Source organism: Homo sapiens, chromosome 13, assembly GCF_000001405.40.
Source record: "Homo sapiens chromosome 13, GRCh38.p14 Primary Assembly".
Classification (NCBI taxonomy): Eukaryota; Metazoa; Chordata; class Mammalia; order Primates; family Hominidae; genus Homo; species Homo sapiens.
The window spans coordinates 65916248-65931672 of NC_000013.11; the positions used below are offsets into that span (position 1 = coordinate 65916248).

The 15425-nt window shown below is 36.6% G+C and overlaps 1 annotated feature.

Moving 5' to 3' along the window:
- Nucleotides 10670-11169: an enhancer, noted in NCBI's record as "H3K4me1 hESC enhancer chr13:66501049-66501548 (GRCh37/hg19 assembly coordinates)". NCBI's record gives its function as "activates a minimal SCP1, AML or CMV promoter by ChIP-STARR-seq in primed H9 embryonic stem cells {active_cell/tissue: H9 hESC(primed)}" and the evidence as "EXISTENCE:reporter gene assay evidence [ECO:0000049][PMID:30033119]".

Genomic DNA, 15425 nt, shown 5'->3' on the forward strand with positions numbered 1-15425 from the left:
TACAACTCTGGTGTGAATACTGATGGTCATGGAGGCTGTACGTCTGTTGGGGCAGGAATATCTGAGAAATCTCTTTACCTTCCACTCAACTTTTGCTATGAACCTAAAACTGTTCTAAGACAAAAAGACTGCCAACAAAAAAAACACACACACAGTAAAGGCACTTTAGGCTTAAAGAAAAACAGAAATGAATGCAAAATGCAAACAAAAGTGCTAGCATATTAGGGGAATAATAAACAGTATAACCATTTAAAATAATATATATTAATTCTACTTTCTACCAGTTAGTTTAATTTATCATTTGAGGCTTTGCTATCATTTTACTACCTACTTTGGGTTTACTTGAATTAGTTTTTATTTTCTAATTGAATTTTATGCAACTGGAGAATATGAAAACTAAGTCCTAGAAACCTGTATAATTTTGGCAAGTGTGAATTATTGAAACTGTTTGGCTATATATAATTTTTCTCTCTTAGCTCATTATGTGGCAATATGTTAATTTTGTTATGTTTTGTCTCATTATTTTCTAAAACTGCCCAAATGCAAAACACAAACTAAACACAAATTAACTGTAAAATAATCAAATGTAAGACTAACTTAGGTACCTAGAAATAGTGCAAAATATAAAAGCTAAAGTTTAAAACAAATAAGGAGTAAGTCCTAACACAAGAGAAGAGATGAAATAATAAATTTATATTAAAAATAAAATTCCCAAGTGTTGTTTTGATTTAAAAGGCATTTTGAAAAGTTATCTTCTTTCTGCCAAGAACTTCAAAAAGGCTAACATTTAAAAAGACAGCCAAATAATCTAAAAGCCAGTGTATGGGAATATGGTCCCTACTACCATGAGTAAGCCTATTACACAAGTCCACTTCTATCTATTCATTTCACCCATGTATTGTGTGCCAGATTGAAGAAACAAACAAACAAACAAACAAACATTTCTTTGGTCCTGGATATTGTTTTTAAATTGCATTATTTACATTTCTTAGAGTTCAATAGACTTTACCCAAGGTCCACATAAAAAAAATGTGGATATTGAGCAATTCTAGTACCCTACCTCTCTTTGACCAACACAGCTCTGATCTTTTCTCTCATGTGTTTGGATTTGTATGTGAGGTGCTGTTTAACAATAGCAAGACAAAAAATGAAATAATAACTTGGAGAATGAGTGGAAAAAATATCAGGAAGGAAAGGAAAGAAAACTGCTAGGGGAGTAGAAAGGAAAAAAAGGAAAATGAAGGAAAAAGAGAAGAGGATAAGAAAAGAAAAAAAATACCCTATGAAAGCATAACACATCTAACATGCATTCATTTTCCTAGATAGAATCCTGGGGTATGTTAGTGATTGTGCTTCATATAGCCACTGAGCCCTTTACTTGCTCTATCTTGTTGATTATTTTCAGTAACTATTATTATTATTTATTATTTTATCCTACCTACCCAATGGTGTTACGGAAGACAAATCCTCCAGCACAAAGCTTTGGTTTGACATTGTTATGAAGGCCAGTAAAGAGACAGCAATACCACAGGCGGGCTTCAGGGACCAAGTATTGTTTATAACACTTGTAGCTGCCTTGCTTGCGCTCTTCGGATATCACAGACAGTCTGGGGAAGCAGTCCTGGCAGCACACATTTGCCTGCCAAGAAGCCCAGGAGGTAATGATTAAAGGCTCTTATAAATCTCTCTCTGAAATGCCTGAAGGCCTTAGTGGTCTGTAAAAGCAATATTGGTAAAGAACCAAGTATCAATGTTGCTGGCAGCAATACAATTTTAATGTCATTTTTAATATTTAGATTTATGACCAGACTCCTAAAATAGCAAACTAGCAAAATCATGAATTTCAATATGAGTTAAAAAGTATTATGAAGTTCATTCATTCCATCCCTTCATGTTTTATTTATTAATTTACAAGGTGATGAAGATGTAGTTATGAGTTGAAGACAAGCACTCTCTTCCTTTTACAGCATATGATTTGGTGAGAAAGACAGACAAGATGACAGAGAGACATATATTGGTACAGTCATAAGTGTTCAAAAACACAGAATCTGAACAGGGAGATCTAATTCTTCCTGGAGAAGGAGTGGTGTATAGGGAAAGCTGTTGGGAGTGACATTTAACCTGTGACCTAAAGGATGCATGGGAGTTAGATGATATAATAGGGCATAGGGATAAGCGTTATAATTAGAGGAAAGTATATACACAAAGGTTTTGCATAATGACTGAGCTTTTGAGGGAGCTGAAAGAAAGTGAGTAAACATGGTTGGAGCTGAGAGTATGAGGGAGAAAGTGGTCTGAGATGAAGGTGGGTCTTAGAGACAATCTGTGCATGGCCTTGCTGGCTCTGCTAATTCCTCAAGTTCCATGTTAAGTATAATGGATAGCAATGGTAGGTGCTCCACAAAAAGCTACATGCAGAACCACAACCCTGGTTGGGATTTTGTGAAAATGTTTAAGTTTCAAATTTTGGTGGGACACTGTCCTATGGGCAAGAAGGCTTGGGACCACATGGCCTCTCTCTGTATGGGAAGAGATACTCTCCTGAGGGAGGTGGAAGGCATATGGATTGGTCAGACGGAAGCAAGCTGGATTTCAGCCATGCTACCATCAGAGACGGTATATTTATTTCAGTGTTTCAACTGCACAATGGTACATAGCAGTTACCAACATGATCCAATCGTCTGCTTCAAGATCACGCTTTCGAAAGAGCAAGGTGTGGAAAGAAGTAAATCAAACCTAACAGTGTTATAGCAATTCAGGAAAAAATAAGTTTCTAGCTTAAACCAACTAGGATGCTAGCAGTAGGAATTCAGATAAATAGAAGAAAGGATCTTTTGGAGGTACGATTAACATTAAAATTAAGACTCCGTACAGGAGTTACAGAAAACCCTATTCTAAAAAGAAGAATAGTTTGACCTAAATCATGTTAAGAAACACGTAATAAGTGAAAGGAGAAGATTAAACATTCAACCCTGTTATAGTAAATAGGTTTTCATAAGATCTGCACTTTTAAGGACTTCCTGAGTGCTAGACAGTACCTTAAGTCCTTTATATGTACCATTGCAATAATCCTGCCAATACTACGAGATTAATAATGATGACGATGATCAGAATAATACATTGCACATGTAGCACATGAATAATTTTGTCTAATATCCCAACTTTTTGACATTTTGACTCATATTACAATCCTAAAGTTTGGGTTAAAAGGCGTGAGCAGTTTTCAAGAAAGATAATTAAGGCTCAGAAAAGCTAGGTGGGCACTTTGGGAGGCAGAGGTCGAAGGATCACTTGAGTCCAGGACTTCAAAACCAGCCTGGGCAACATGGCCAAACCTCATCTCTACAATAAATACAAAAATTAGCTGGGCATGGTGGCATGTGACTGTAGTCCCAGCTACTTAGGAGGCTGAGGTGGGAGAATCTCTTGAGTTTGGGGGGGTCAAGAAAGGTCAAGGCTGCAGTGAGCTGTGATTATACCACTACACTCCAGCTTGGGTGGCAGAACTAGAACCTGTCTCAATTTAAAAACAAACAAACAAACAACAACAAAAACAAAAAAGACAGAAAACCTAGGCGGCTTACCTCAGATCTCTCTTCTTGAATAGGAGTCTTTAGATTAGATTCCAAGAAAATCATTCCAAATCTACCTTTAAGACAAGAGTCCTATTTTTACAATAAATGAATAATTGAGACATGGGCACATTAGTAGGAATTAATATCAGATTACTTTCCAGGCAAAAGAACCCTGAGAAAAACAGATGCACTTAGAATATAAAGAATAATGACAACAAAGAGAGGGTAAAGGAAAACAATGCCTTCACCATTTTTTTAGCTGTGTTCTTTAAAACCTATAAGAAATATTCATGATGATTTATAATGAATATAAATATTATTTATAAATAATCTTTCCCATTTTCTAGAGTAACAATATTGATTGAGGTTGAGGGTAGCCTAAATAACAATTGTGGGAGCTATATTCAGGTTTACCTCAAGTTAATTATCTCTAGTTAATGTCAATTTCATCTTATTTTTTAAGATCAGGAAATTTATTTCCTACATCATTTGATATATCTTTGTCAATTAAACTGAACAATTTCAAGTTGACTCCAAGTCCCTCTTTTACTCTTCCTGAGTTGTTTGGTAGCACTCATATCATCTAGGTTCTGGTTTGATCTCTTTCTGATGAAAATATGAGAGGAACCAAGCGCAAAGATGTGAGCAGAAAGTCATAGGAAGCAAAGCACTCACAAGATGTTCCAATAACAAAACATTTCAGAAGTATGAAAAAGGTCAGAGTCAAGTATTTCTTAGTGTTATGAGAAAGAAGTGTAAAAAGTTGCCATGGGAAAAGATCTTTTCAATTCACAGTTTAGAAGGGAGATTTCCATAGCTTTCTTCTCATAGTGCCCATGAGTTCCTCCTGGCATCAGTAACATTCTCTGAAAATTAGGTTCTGAGTTCTGTAGGTGACCCCAGGATACCAAAGGGCTACAGCTGCCAAGGAGAGTGGTTTGGTCTTAAAATTATTAGAAGGAATATTAGAAATAGTATAGAAACCAATTAAAAAATGGTACACCAACCCACACAAATATAGTCACCTGATCCATGACAAAGGAACAATGGTAATACAATGGAGAAAGATACTCTTTCCAACAAACGATGTTGGAACAACTAGACATCCATATACAAAAAACAAAAGTGAATCTAGATAGAGATGTTACACTCTTCACAAATCAACTAAACATGATTCATAGACCTAGTTGTAAAATGCAGAATTATAAAACTCCTAGAAGATAACATCAGGAAAATCTAGATAACCTTGGGTTTGGCAATGCCTTTTTAGATATAGCACCAAAGGCACAATCCATGAAATAAATAATTGTTTAGCCAGAATTCATAAAAATTAACAACTTCTGCTTTGTAAAAGACATGGTAAACAGAATATGAAGCAAAGCCACAGAATTGGGAGAAAAATATCTGCAAACAATATACCTGTTAAAGGACTGTTATCTAAAATATATAAAAAACTCATAAAACTCAAGTAGAAAAAGAACAATCCAAAATTTAAAAATGTATAAAAGATCTAAACAGATATCTCACCAAAGAAGATATACAGATGGCATATCACTATAAAAAGATGCTCAGCATCATATGTCATCAGGGAAATGCAAATTAAAACAACAATGAGATATCACTATACACCTATTTGAATGCCCAAAACCTGGAGCTGTAACGACATCACATGTTGGTGAAAATGTGGAACAATAGGAATTCTCATTCACTGCTGGTGGGAATACAAAATTGTTTAGCTACTTTGGAATACATTTTGAAAGTTTGTAAAGAAACTAAATATACTGTTTCCGCAAGATCCAGTAGTCATGGATTGCTTATTATTTACCTAAATGCGTTGAAAGCATATGCCCACACAAAAACCTGCACACCCATGTATAGCACATTTATTCATAATTGTATGAACTTGCAAACAAACAAGATGTCCTTTAGGAGGTGAAGAGATAAACAAACTCAGGTACCTCCAGACAATGGAATAGTATTCAGTACTAAAATGATTTAAGTTATCAAGCCATGATAGATATGGAGTAACCTTAGATTCACATCACTAAGTGAAGAAAGCCAACCTGAAAAGGCTAAACACTAGATGGTTCCAACTATATTCTAGAAAAGGAAAAACTGTGAAGAGAATAAAAAGATCAGTGGTTGCCAGGGATTAAGAGAGAAAGAGGGATGAATAGGTGGAACACAGAAGATTTTAGTGCAGTGAATAGGAAGCAATATAACCATTTAAAAGAAAAACTATATGTACTGGGAGACGAGAAAACTCTTGTGACTCACTTTATTGCAATATTTGCTTTATTGTGATGGTCTGGAAATGAAACCACAATATCTCCAAGGAATGCCTTATTTTTAGTTTTCTTTCACTTAACAAGGGGTGTCAGGCATATGTAATATTTTGAAACTAAGTTTTTCATTTGTATTATGTTGCAGACATCAACCATAGTCTTGGATTCATCTTTAACTGTTGGGTAATACGGCACTGTCTGAACATACTGTTACAATATATTCCATGGATGTTGGATCCACTGATGAACATTTGAGTTGTTTCCAAGCTTTTGTTAAGTGAAAATTAGTGATACAACATTTCCGAACCTGTGTTTGATTGTATAAGTGCAAGAGACTCTCCTAGACATTCCTAGAAATAAATTTTCTGTGTCATAAAACATGAGAATAATCAACTTAAAAAATAATGCCAAACTGTTTCAGTGATAGATAACTAACTCTCCAATTGGTAATATATAAGAGATTCTACAGATTTCCACTACGTCTAACACTTGGTATTGTAAAATCTTAATGTTGCCAATGTAACAAGAATTAGACAGAAAATTACAGTGGTTTTGATGTTGATGTCACTGATTACAATGAAGTTATTAATAAATATCTTTTTTTGTGTGGTGACCTATGTAAAATGCCTGTTCATGATTTTTGTCCATTTGTTTCTGTTACTTTTCTGTGCATTTCTCATTATTTTTTCCATTTGCAAACACACACACACACACACGGAAAACCTTAGGAACTGGGCATGGTGGCTCATCTTATTCCCACAGTTTGGAGGCTGAGGCGGGTGGATCATCTGAGCTCAGGAGTTTGAGACCCACCTGAGCAATATGGTGAAGCCCCACTTCTACAAAAAGGACAAAAAGGATAAAAATAAAATTAAAATTAAAAAATAAAATAAAATAAAATAAAATAATAAAATAAATAAAATAAAATAAAATAAATAAAATAAAATAAATAAAATAAAATAAAATAAAATAAATAAAATAAATAAAATAAAATAAAATAAAATAAAACAAAATAAAATACCAGGCGCAGTGGTGTGGGCCTGTAGCCCCAACTACTGGGGAGGCTGAGGCAGGAGAATTGCTTGAATCCAGGAGGCGGAGGTGGCAGCAAGTAGAGATCCCACTGCACTCCAGCGTGGGTGACAGAGTGAGACCTGAAAAAAAAAAAAAAGGAAAAGAAGAAAGGGAAAAAGAGAGAAGGAAGGAAGGAAGGAAGGAAGGAAGGAAGGAAGGCCGGCTGTGTGCGGTGGCTCATGCCTGTAATCCCAGCACTTTGGGAGGCCAAGGTGGGTGGATCATGAGGTCAGGAGATGGAGACCATCCTGCCTAAGACGGTGAAACCCTGTCTCTAATAAAAATAGAAAATACAAAAAATTAGCCGGGCATGGTGGCACGTGCCTGAAATCCCAGCTATTCGGGTGACTGAGGCAGGAGAATCGCTTGAACCCGGGAGGCGGAGGATGCAGTGAGCTGAGATTGCGTGCCATTGCACTCCAGCCTGGGCGACAGAGCTAGACTCTGTCAAAGAAAAAAAAAAAAAGAGAGAGAGAGAGGAAGAAAGGGAGGGAGGGAGGGAAGGAAAGAAGGAAGGAAGGAACGAAGGAACGAAGGAACGAAGGAAGCCCTATATGTTCTATATGTATAGTTTGTTTGTTTCTTTGGGTTTTGTTTTGTTTTGTTTTTGAGATAAAGTCATCCTATGTTACCTAGGCTGGTCTCAAATTCCTGCGGTCAAGCAATTTTCCCACTTCAGCCTCCGAAGTAGCTGAGACTATAGGTGCACACCACTGCACCTGGCATAGTTTTGATATAAATTATATAAATATATGTATTCTATCTGTGTATAGGATGCCTTTTCACATTCTTTTAATGTGTCTTTTTAAAAAAACAGAATTTCTTAATTTTAATAGAGTCAAATTTGTTAAGCTTTTTATAGTCAACAAAATTTGTATCTTTTTCAACAAATATTTAACCTGCCGTTACTTTTCACCAACCTAATATTTCCCCCACAAGATCTAAGGGATATTTCAACTTAAAAAAATTTTTTTTACTGAGAAACCTAAAGTTTTGTATTTTGACATTTAGTCTGCTGCCTATCTAGAGCTGCGTATGATCTGAGGTAGGGATTCAGTTTTATCTTTTTCAGCTTGAATAACCAGTTTTTTACTTCTATATACCAAAAATCCCTTTAAGATATGATGAAAGATTCTCAAGTATTTATGGATTTTTTAGAATTACGAATCCTTTAAATATAAAACAGTGGCTTCTTTTTACCTCAAAGCAGGTAATACCACAGAAGTGGAAAATAATATGCAAGAAATAGGAAGAGTTGGAAAAGTAACATTTAAAAATAATCAGAGTTGTGAATTTTTTTAAATAAAACATATTCAGGGTCTGTTTAGTTACACAAATCTATTGAAAGAGGATGTTTACATTTGTTTAGAGGACTGTGGGGGCTCACCATGAGGATCTATAACCCTGAACACTTAACGTTGTCCAAATTGTAATTTAATAAATAAACAATATTAAATATTTTATGTTCAGATATTAAAGGACTCATGTTAAGATTATTTAATCTGAACATAATTAACTTTTCTTAATTTTCTAGAGGAAACTTTATTGAAGAGATACGAGGTGTGCAACATGCAATCTTTTTGCCAGGTAATGAGCAAAATTTGCTTGGTTCGAAATTCACATGATGGAGTGCAGTAATGACATTTTTACTCATATAAATAATAAATTCTAGAAATAGAGTTTTAAGAAATTCTTTGATTAGCACATAAAGTAGTAAATAATATTTAGCTGTTTTTGGATAGTTATTAACTTTGTTCAAATAATTTCTTAACTTCTGTTTTAACAATGATACTTTATATAAAATTTACAACTTACAAAATATATACACACATACTTTTTTTTTTTTTAAGATGGAATGTCACTCTGTTATCCAGGTTGCAGTGCAGTGGCATTATCTTGAGTCACTGCAGTCTTGCCCTCCCCAAGCTCAAGTAATCTTCCCACCTCAACCTCCTGAGTAGCTTAGACTATAGGTATGTGATATCACTCCTGGCTAATGTTTTTTTTTTGTATTTGTTGTAGAAACAGGGTATTGCCATGTTGCCTAGGCTAGTCTTGAACTCCTGTGGTCAAGTGATCTGCCCACCTCAGCCTCCCAAATTGCTAGGATTTCAGGCCTGAGCCACCATGCCTAACCATATAAATCTATTTCTGCACTAATACTACTGAATAGAAAGGATACCTTGCCAGGTTGAAAATCTGTGTATTATAGTGTCTCATATCTTTTGAATCAACAGGAGATATTAACTTACACACCAAAAAAGAAATAGTGCTAAAAATACATAGATTTAAATCTGTATGAAAATATACCTTATTCTCAAGAGCCAGAATGCTCTGCAGATGCTCATCCAAAAGACAGTCAAATGATCATTCAATGTCTATTTTTCCCTGTTTTTATATGACACAATATATTACTTCATAGCATAGCAATATATTTGGTTCATCACATTGAAATTTAGTGCTAACTACCCTGATAGTTTCCGTGTGCCCATAGAAATTATTTTCTGTTTTGAAAATAGCAGTGTAAGAAGGACTATATCTATTCCTTTCATTTCACTTTGAACTATAAGAAACGGAGTGTTACAGGTCAACAATATTTTCCAGTTTTTAAGGTGACTATTTCCCTGGTTCCTGTTAAGCAAGGATGAAATATTATTTCAAATATCTAAACAAAAGTATTTACCATTCATATCCTACCTTTAGCTGGGTGAGTCATTTGATGGCAATTTTCTATTATTTGCATAGCACATGTTAGAGTTTAGAAATAAACAGACATATGTCATTCAAATTTTTATAGGAAAGTGTTTAATTGCTGAGAAGTAAAACACAAAATGACCTCGCAGCATAATTATAAAAAAGAAGCGTAAACACGAAAACAAAGGGAACAGAAAGGCAATGCAATAAATATCACAATCAAACACTTCTTTCATCAAAATATCAGTTCCCTTTTTAAATTCTGAAGTGAATGCTCTAAATTTATTGTTGAGGCTGCTTTAATATTATAGTTTGATGTACTATCTTCGAATTGATCTGATGTTATAATCAACCTTGGGTCAGTAACAGAGACAAAATCCATAGCTTCATGCCACTTAACTAAATAAATATCAACATTCAGGTGAAGGGCTTTGGATTCTATGATTTTACACGTTCCTCACCTAAGTCTTATTATCAGACAATTTTGGTAATTGATGTGCTAATATAATTGTTCTCAACACCTAATTGGGTGTCAACTTTAAGTTCAAAAGGAGCTATGCCAAAGAAGCGTTTTTACGTTTCTCACTCTTTATTTTTCTGTACTAGTGAGTATAGAAGTCTGGTTTGAAAACAGTGATAATATCAGATAACTTCAGGGAAAAAAACAGTGTTTTAAAAACTTTTGGATGGATGGGCTGTAGTCTGAAGTACTACAGGAAGGGAATGCAAACTCGTAACTAGAGTATTTGTCAATTCCAGTTAGTGTAAAAAAAAAACACATACACCAAATCAATAGTGATGAAGCAGGATATTTCCCCGATCCCTTCGCGGGACTCGTGACAGGCGTGCGTGTGCCTCGTTTATTAAGCCTAGCGCTCTCAACTCCTTGCAGGAGGGAGTGTGCGAGTGAACAAGGCAGGAACTAGAGTGCAGGAGGGCTGGAACCAGCCAGCTGCTTTGGCGCGGTGGGATCAAACTCCACTACTCAGAACTACTGCGTTTCACTCCTCATGGGAGGGAGCATGCAGGTGAGCAGGTGCAGGAACTGGAGCTAGCAGTTTTGGGCACCTTCAGGAGCAAACTCTATGCAGGCCCCCTAGCAGCGTCCAGGTGGGGGCGCCTGCAACCTCTGAAGCCCCAGAGGATATGTTACAGTGCTCTTTTAGCTCTGCAGTCCATGGATGGCTTATATATTTACCTCTCAGTGAAACCTCTGCCTTTTCACATGAGGTGGCTGCCCTCCAGCAACAAGGGCAAAGGGCCAGCGTGACAGCCTTTTGTGTCCACACTTGTGGTTCCCGAGATCTTGCCTGGCATCCAGGAAAAGTGAGGTCGCAGTAACGAATTGAAGGATAGTAAATGTAGGGGATTTTATTGCCAATGAAGGTTACTCTCAGCAGGAAGTGGAGCTGAAAGGGGACAGGGTGGAAAGGTAACATTTCCCTGGAGTGTGGCCATCTCTGGCAGGATTCTTCTCAAAGTTATGACATCAAGCTGTCCCTCTGAAGTCAAGCCGCTTCTCTACAATGTCCAGCTGTAGTCTCTGACGTCCACCTGCTTCTCCTCTCTGCCGGCTTAGTCTGAGGTTTTTATAGGGACAGGATGCAGGGTGGAGGGGTCATGGGTAGTTTAGGAAAAGGCAACACTGGAGCAGGAAAACAGGGATAGAATTTCTCACTTTGGGCAGTGGGTTTCAGGCTTTTGGGTTTAAGAGTGGGGTTTCGCTGGGAACCTGCACTTTTCTGCCTAGAATTTCTCAGCCTCATGTCCTGGAAACCAAATGAATAAAATATATTGAAGAAAAGAGAGTGTCCAACTGCTACTGAAAGGTCAAATTCTACTGACAGTTTATGTATACGGGGAGGGAGAATTGACATTAGAGTTTACCAATATAAAGATCAATAGTGTTCACGGAAAGAAAAATTTTGATGAAGTAATAGGAGCAACAGTGGGCTTAACAGGGAGTGAAAATAGAAGAATTAGACACAATTAGTATTGACAACTCTTTCAAGGAGTTTTGCTTCAAAGGAGAGCAGAAGAATAAAGCAGTAGAAAGAAAGCAATGTTTTGAAGACTGACAATATAGCAATAAATTTGTACAGATGGAAATAATTCAATGAGGGGAAAGGAGTAGTGATATAGGCAGGAAAAGAATTGAAGGAATGTTCCTGAGTAGAGAAGAAGAGATGGAACCTAAGAAGGCCTTAGGAATACATAGTTCATCTGTGGAAGAGAAGTTGAATGAGGAGGGAAGAAAATTGTAAAAGGTGTTAAGAGAAGGGGAAATTAATGAACTAAGGAAATATGATTTCTAGTCAGCATTAAAAGCTCACATGAGGTTTGCAGTCATGAAATTAAAGTCAGACCACCAAGATGATATTTCTTTTTCCATACATGGTCTGTTGCTTTGGGTCCAGGTATAGAATATTGAGAAAATCAGACATATCAGGATTAATTTTCCAAGTGAGTACCACAAACTAAGAAAACAACAAGGAAGCTAGACATATTGAAAGGGATTTAAAGTGATTATTAACTATGAAATTTAAGCCAGATTAGGAGATAAATAAAAACTTCAAAGAAGCAAAAGATTACTAAAACCAGTAAAATAAGTAAATTGGAGATCCTAATAGTGCTAAAAGATTTTTAGAGTCAAAAACCTATGGGAGTGAGATGCATAGATAGGAAGTAGTTATCATGGAATGTGATGCATAAAACTGAAATTATAGAGAAATTGCAGTGAAGCAAGGTCCAAGGCATGACCATGAGGGTGAGTGACTGAGATAGAGGAAAGAAGGAGAATTTAAGAAATTGAGAATTCAATGTTTTCAGAGAAGTATCTATGTATATAGTATAATAAACAGGATTAAAATAAACAGGAGTAATGAAGAGAGTTACAGTAAACCAGGAACTAACAAATGGGGAAATGAGGAGGAATAACACAGGAAGCTGGACAAAACAATGAGGAACGGTAGGTGATTTGTAGTCCAATTACATGATATTCAAAGTTAAGTATTCATTATATGAACAGAACTAAAGACAAAAAAACACAGGATTATCTCAATAGATTCTGAAAAGGCTTTTGATAAAATTCAACATCCCTTCATGCTAAAAACTCTCAATAACCAGGTGTTGAAGGAACATAACTGAAAATAATAAGGGCCATCTATGACAAACCCACAGCCCACATTATACTGAATGGGCAAAAGCTGGCAGCGTTCCCCTTGAAAACTGGCACAAAACAAGAATGCTCCCTCTCACCTTCAACATAGTATTGAAAGTCCCATCCAGAGCAATCAGGCAGAAGAAAGAAATAAAAGCATCTAAATAGGAAGAGAAAAAGTCAAACTATCTCTTTTTGCAGATGACATTAATCTGTACCTAGAAAACCCCATGGTCTCAGCCCAAAATCTCCTCCAGCTGATAAACAACTTCAGCAAAGTTTCAGGATACAAAATCAATGTACAAAAATCTCCAGATCCTTAACTAATTGCATCTGCAAAGACCTTATTTCCAAATATGGTTCCATTCACAGGTTCTGGAGAACAGGACATCAACGTATTTTGGGGGTCGCCATTCAGTCCATTACAATAGTATTCAGTTCCCTCTGGAGACTCTAGGGGAGGATACTGCTGCATTCAGGACCCATTCTAACCCAAGATGATCTCATCTCAACTAATTCCATCAGCTATGACCCTATTTCCAAATAAGGTCTCATCCTGAGGTTCTGGGTGGATGTGAATTTGGGAGAAATACTCTTCAACCCACTATACCTTCCAGTGCTGACTAACGTCTGTATTTAAATAAACTCTGCAATTATCTCAGAAGACTTCCAGAAAGAAACACGTGGTGAGTAACATCTATATTTACATAAACCCTGCAGTTATCTCAGAAGACTTCCAGAAACACAGGGGGAGCATGAAACCAAACCCAGAAGGCTTAAATGAAAACAGGGATTAGGCCGGGCGCAGTGGCTCACGCCTGTCATCCCACCACTTTGGGAGGCCAAGGCAGGTGGATCACCTGAGGTCAGGAGTTCGACACCAGTCTGACCAACATGGTGAAACCCCGTCTCTACTGCAAATACAAAAATTAGCCAGGTTTGGTGGCATCCGCCTGTAGTCCCAGCTATTCAGGAGGCTGAGGCAGGAGAATTGGTTGAACCCAGGAGACATGACTCAGTGTCATGTCATTTCCAGGAGACTGGATGAATTTTATCACATGAAGAGACTGGTGTTTTTCTCACCCCTATATTTCCTATTGCCCTATAGATGGAATAATCTTTTGGGCCCCTTAGCAGCATATAGGCAAATTATGGATTCTCAGGTCTCATGAATTAATGTACTTTGCTATCTCCATCTTTGTTACTCTTGTGATTTTGTTGTTGTTGTTGTTGTTTTTTGAGACGGAGTCTTGCTCTGTCATGCAGTGGCGGGATCTCGGCTCACTGCAAGCTCTGCCTCCCGGGTTCACGCCATTCTCCTGCCTCAGCCTCCCAAGTAGCTGGGACTACAGGTGCCCACCACCATGCCCAGCTAACTTTTTGTATTTTTAGTAGAGATGGGGTTTCACCGTGTTAACCAGGATGGTCTCGATCTCCTGACCTCGTGATCTGCCCACCTAGGCCTCCCAAAGTACTGGGACTACAGGTGTGAGCCACCGTGCTCGGCCTAATCTTTTCTTAAATAAAATACTAAAGAAGTCCCAACCACTATATCATATTGCTATAAATTCATAATCACTTAAATGGCAATAAAAGCAAACAGAAAAATTTATTAGAGCCACTGGCAAAAACAGTGAATCTTGTGTAAAGATAAGTACCTTTATATGATTAATTTATTATGATATGATAAAATCCACTCTCACACACATTCTCATGATTCTCATTGATGCTTCTTGTCCAAAACCTGCAATTTTTTAATGATATAGGCCATTTTCTCTTAGCAGGGACTGTTATTCCTGTACTCATACAACTCTGACATGTTCTTATAGTAACACACCTAAAGCCAATTAAGAGTAGCAAAGGCAGATCTTAAGAAAAATTATCATCATTTTTGATACACTGATTTTAGTTGAATTGTTGCATGGGCTCAGGACAAATTATCTCAGGTGTATATACCTAAATGTCATAATCTCAAATCTTAGAAACACACTCATTCCCTAACATATCCCAGATTTCCGGGGCTGTGAAGAGGTACACTAATTTATAAGATGTATATTCTTCAAGGTACTAAACCTTGAAGTCTTCAGCAGATCAATGAATTTCCAAGAAAAGGGAGCCTGTGTGGCCTGACTAAATGTTCAGATATTTAATAAACTAATCTACAGTGGACACATTTTGTACTTTATCAGGATGTGATGATGAAAATTGCTCCCCTCGTGCTTTAAAAATATTAATACTAAAATACTTTCCTTTAATTTTACACTTATTACATGTATTAATATAGAACTTTTTCTCAGACTGATACAATGTCAGATTCTTTATTCTTTCAAGAGGTATCTTAATTAGATTTCATTATGAACTCCATACACAAGAGCTCGTTGGCATTTATCATTTAAGAAATACCACAAGTTGTAAAGCTGAGCTAGGGAGCAGACATTTATATTAGAAACAAGGAAAAAAAAACAGTTTTTGTAAGATGTTGATTCATAGTGAAAAATATAAATTCTGAACAGTTGACACATGGAAGGCAGGGATGGGTGCCTCTATTTTGTTAAAAGTAGAATGAAAATATATCAGTATAATAATTCAATTAAATAGGCTGTCATATCACAACTTTCAATGTGCCTCTTGGCTTGT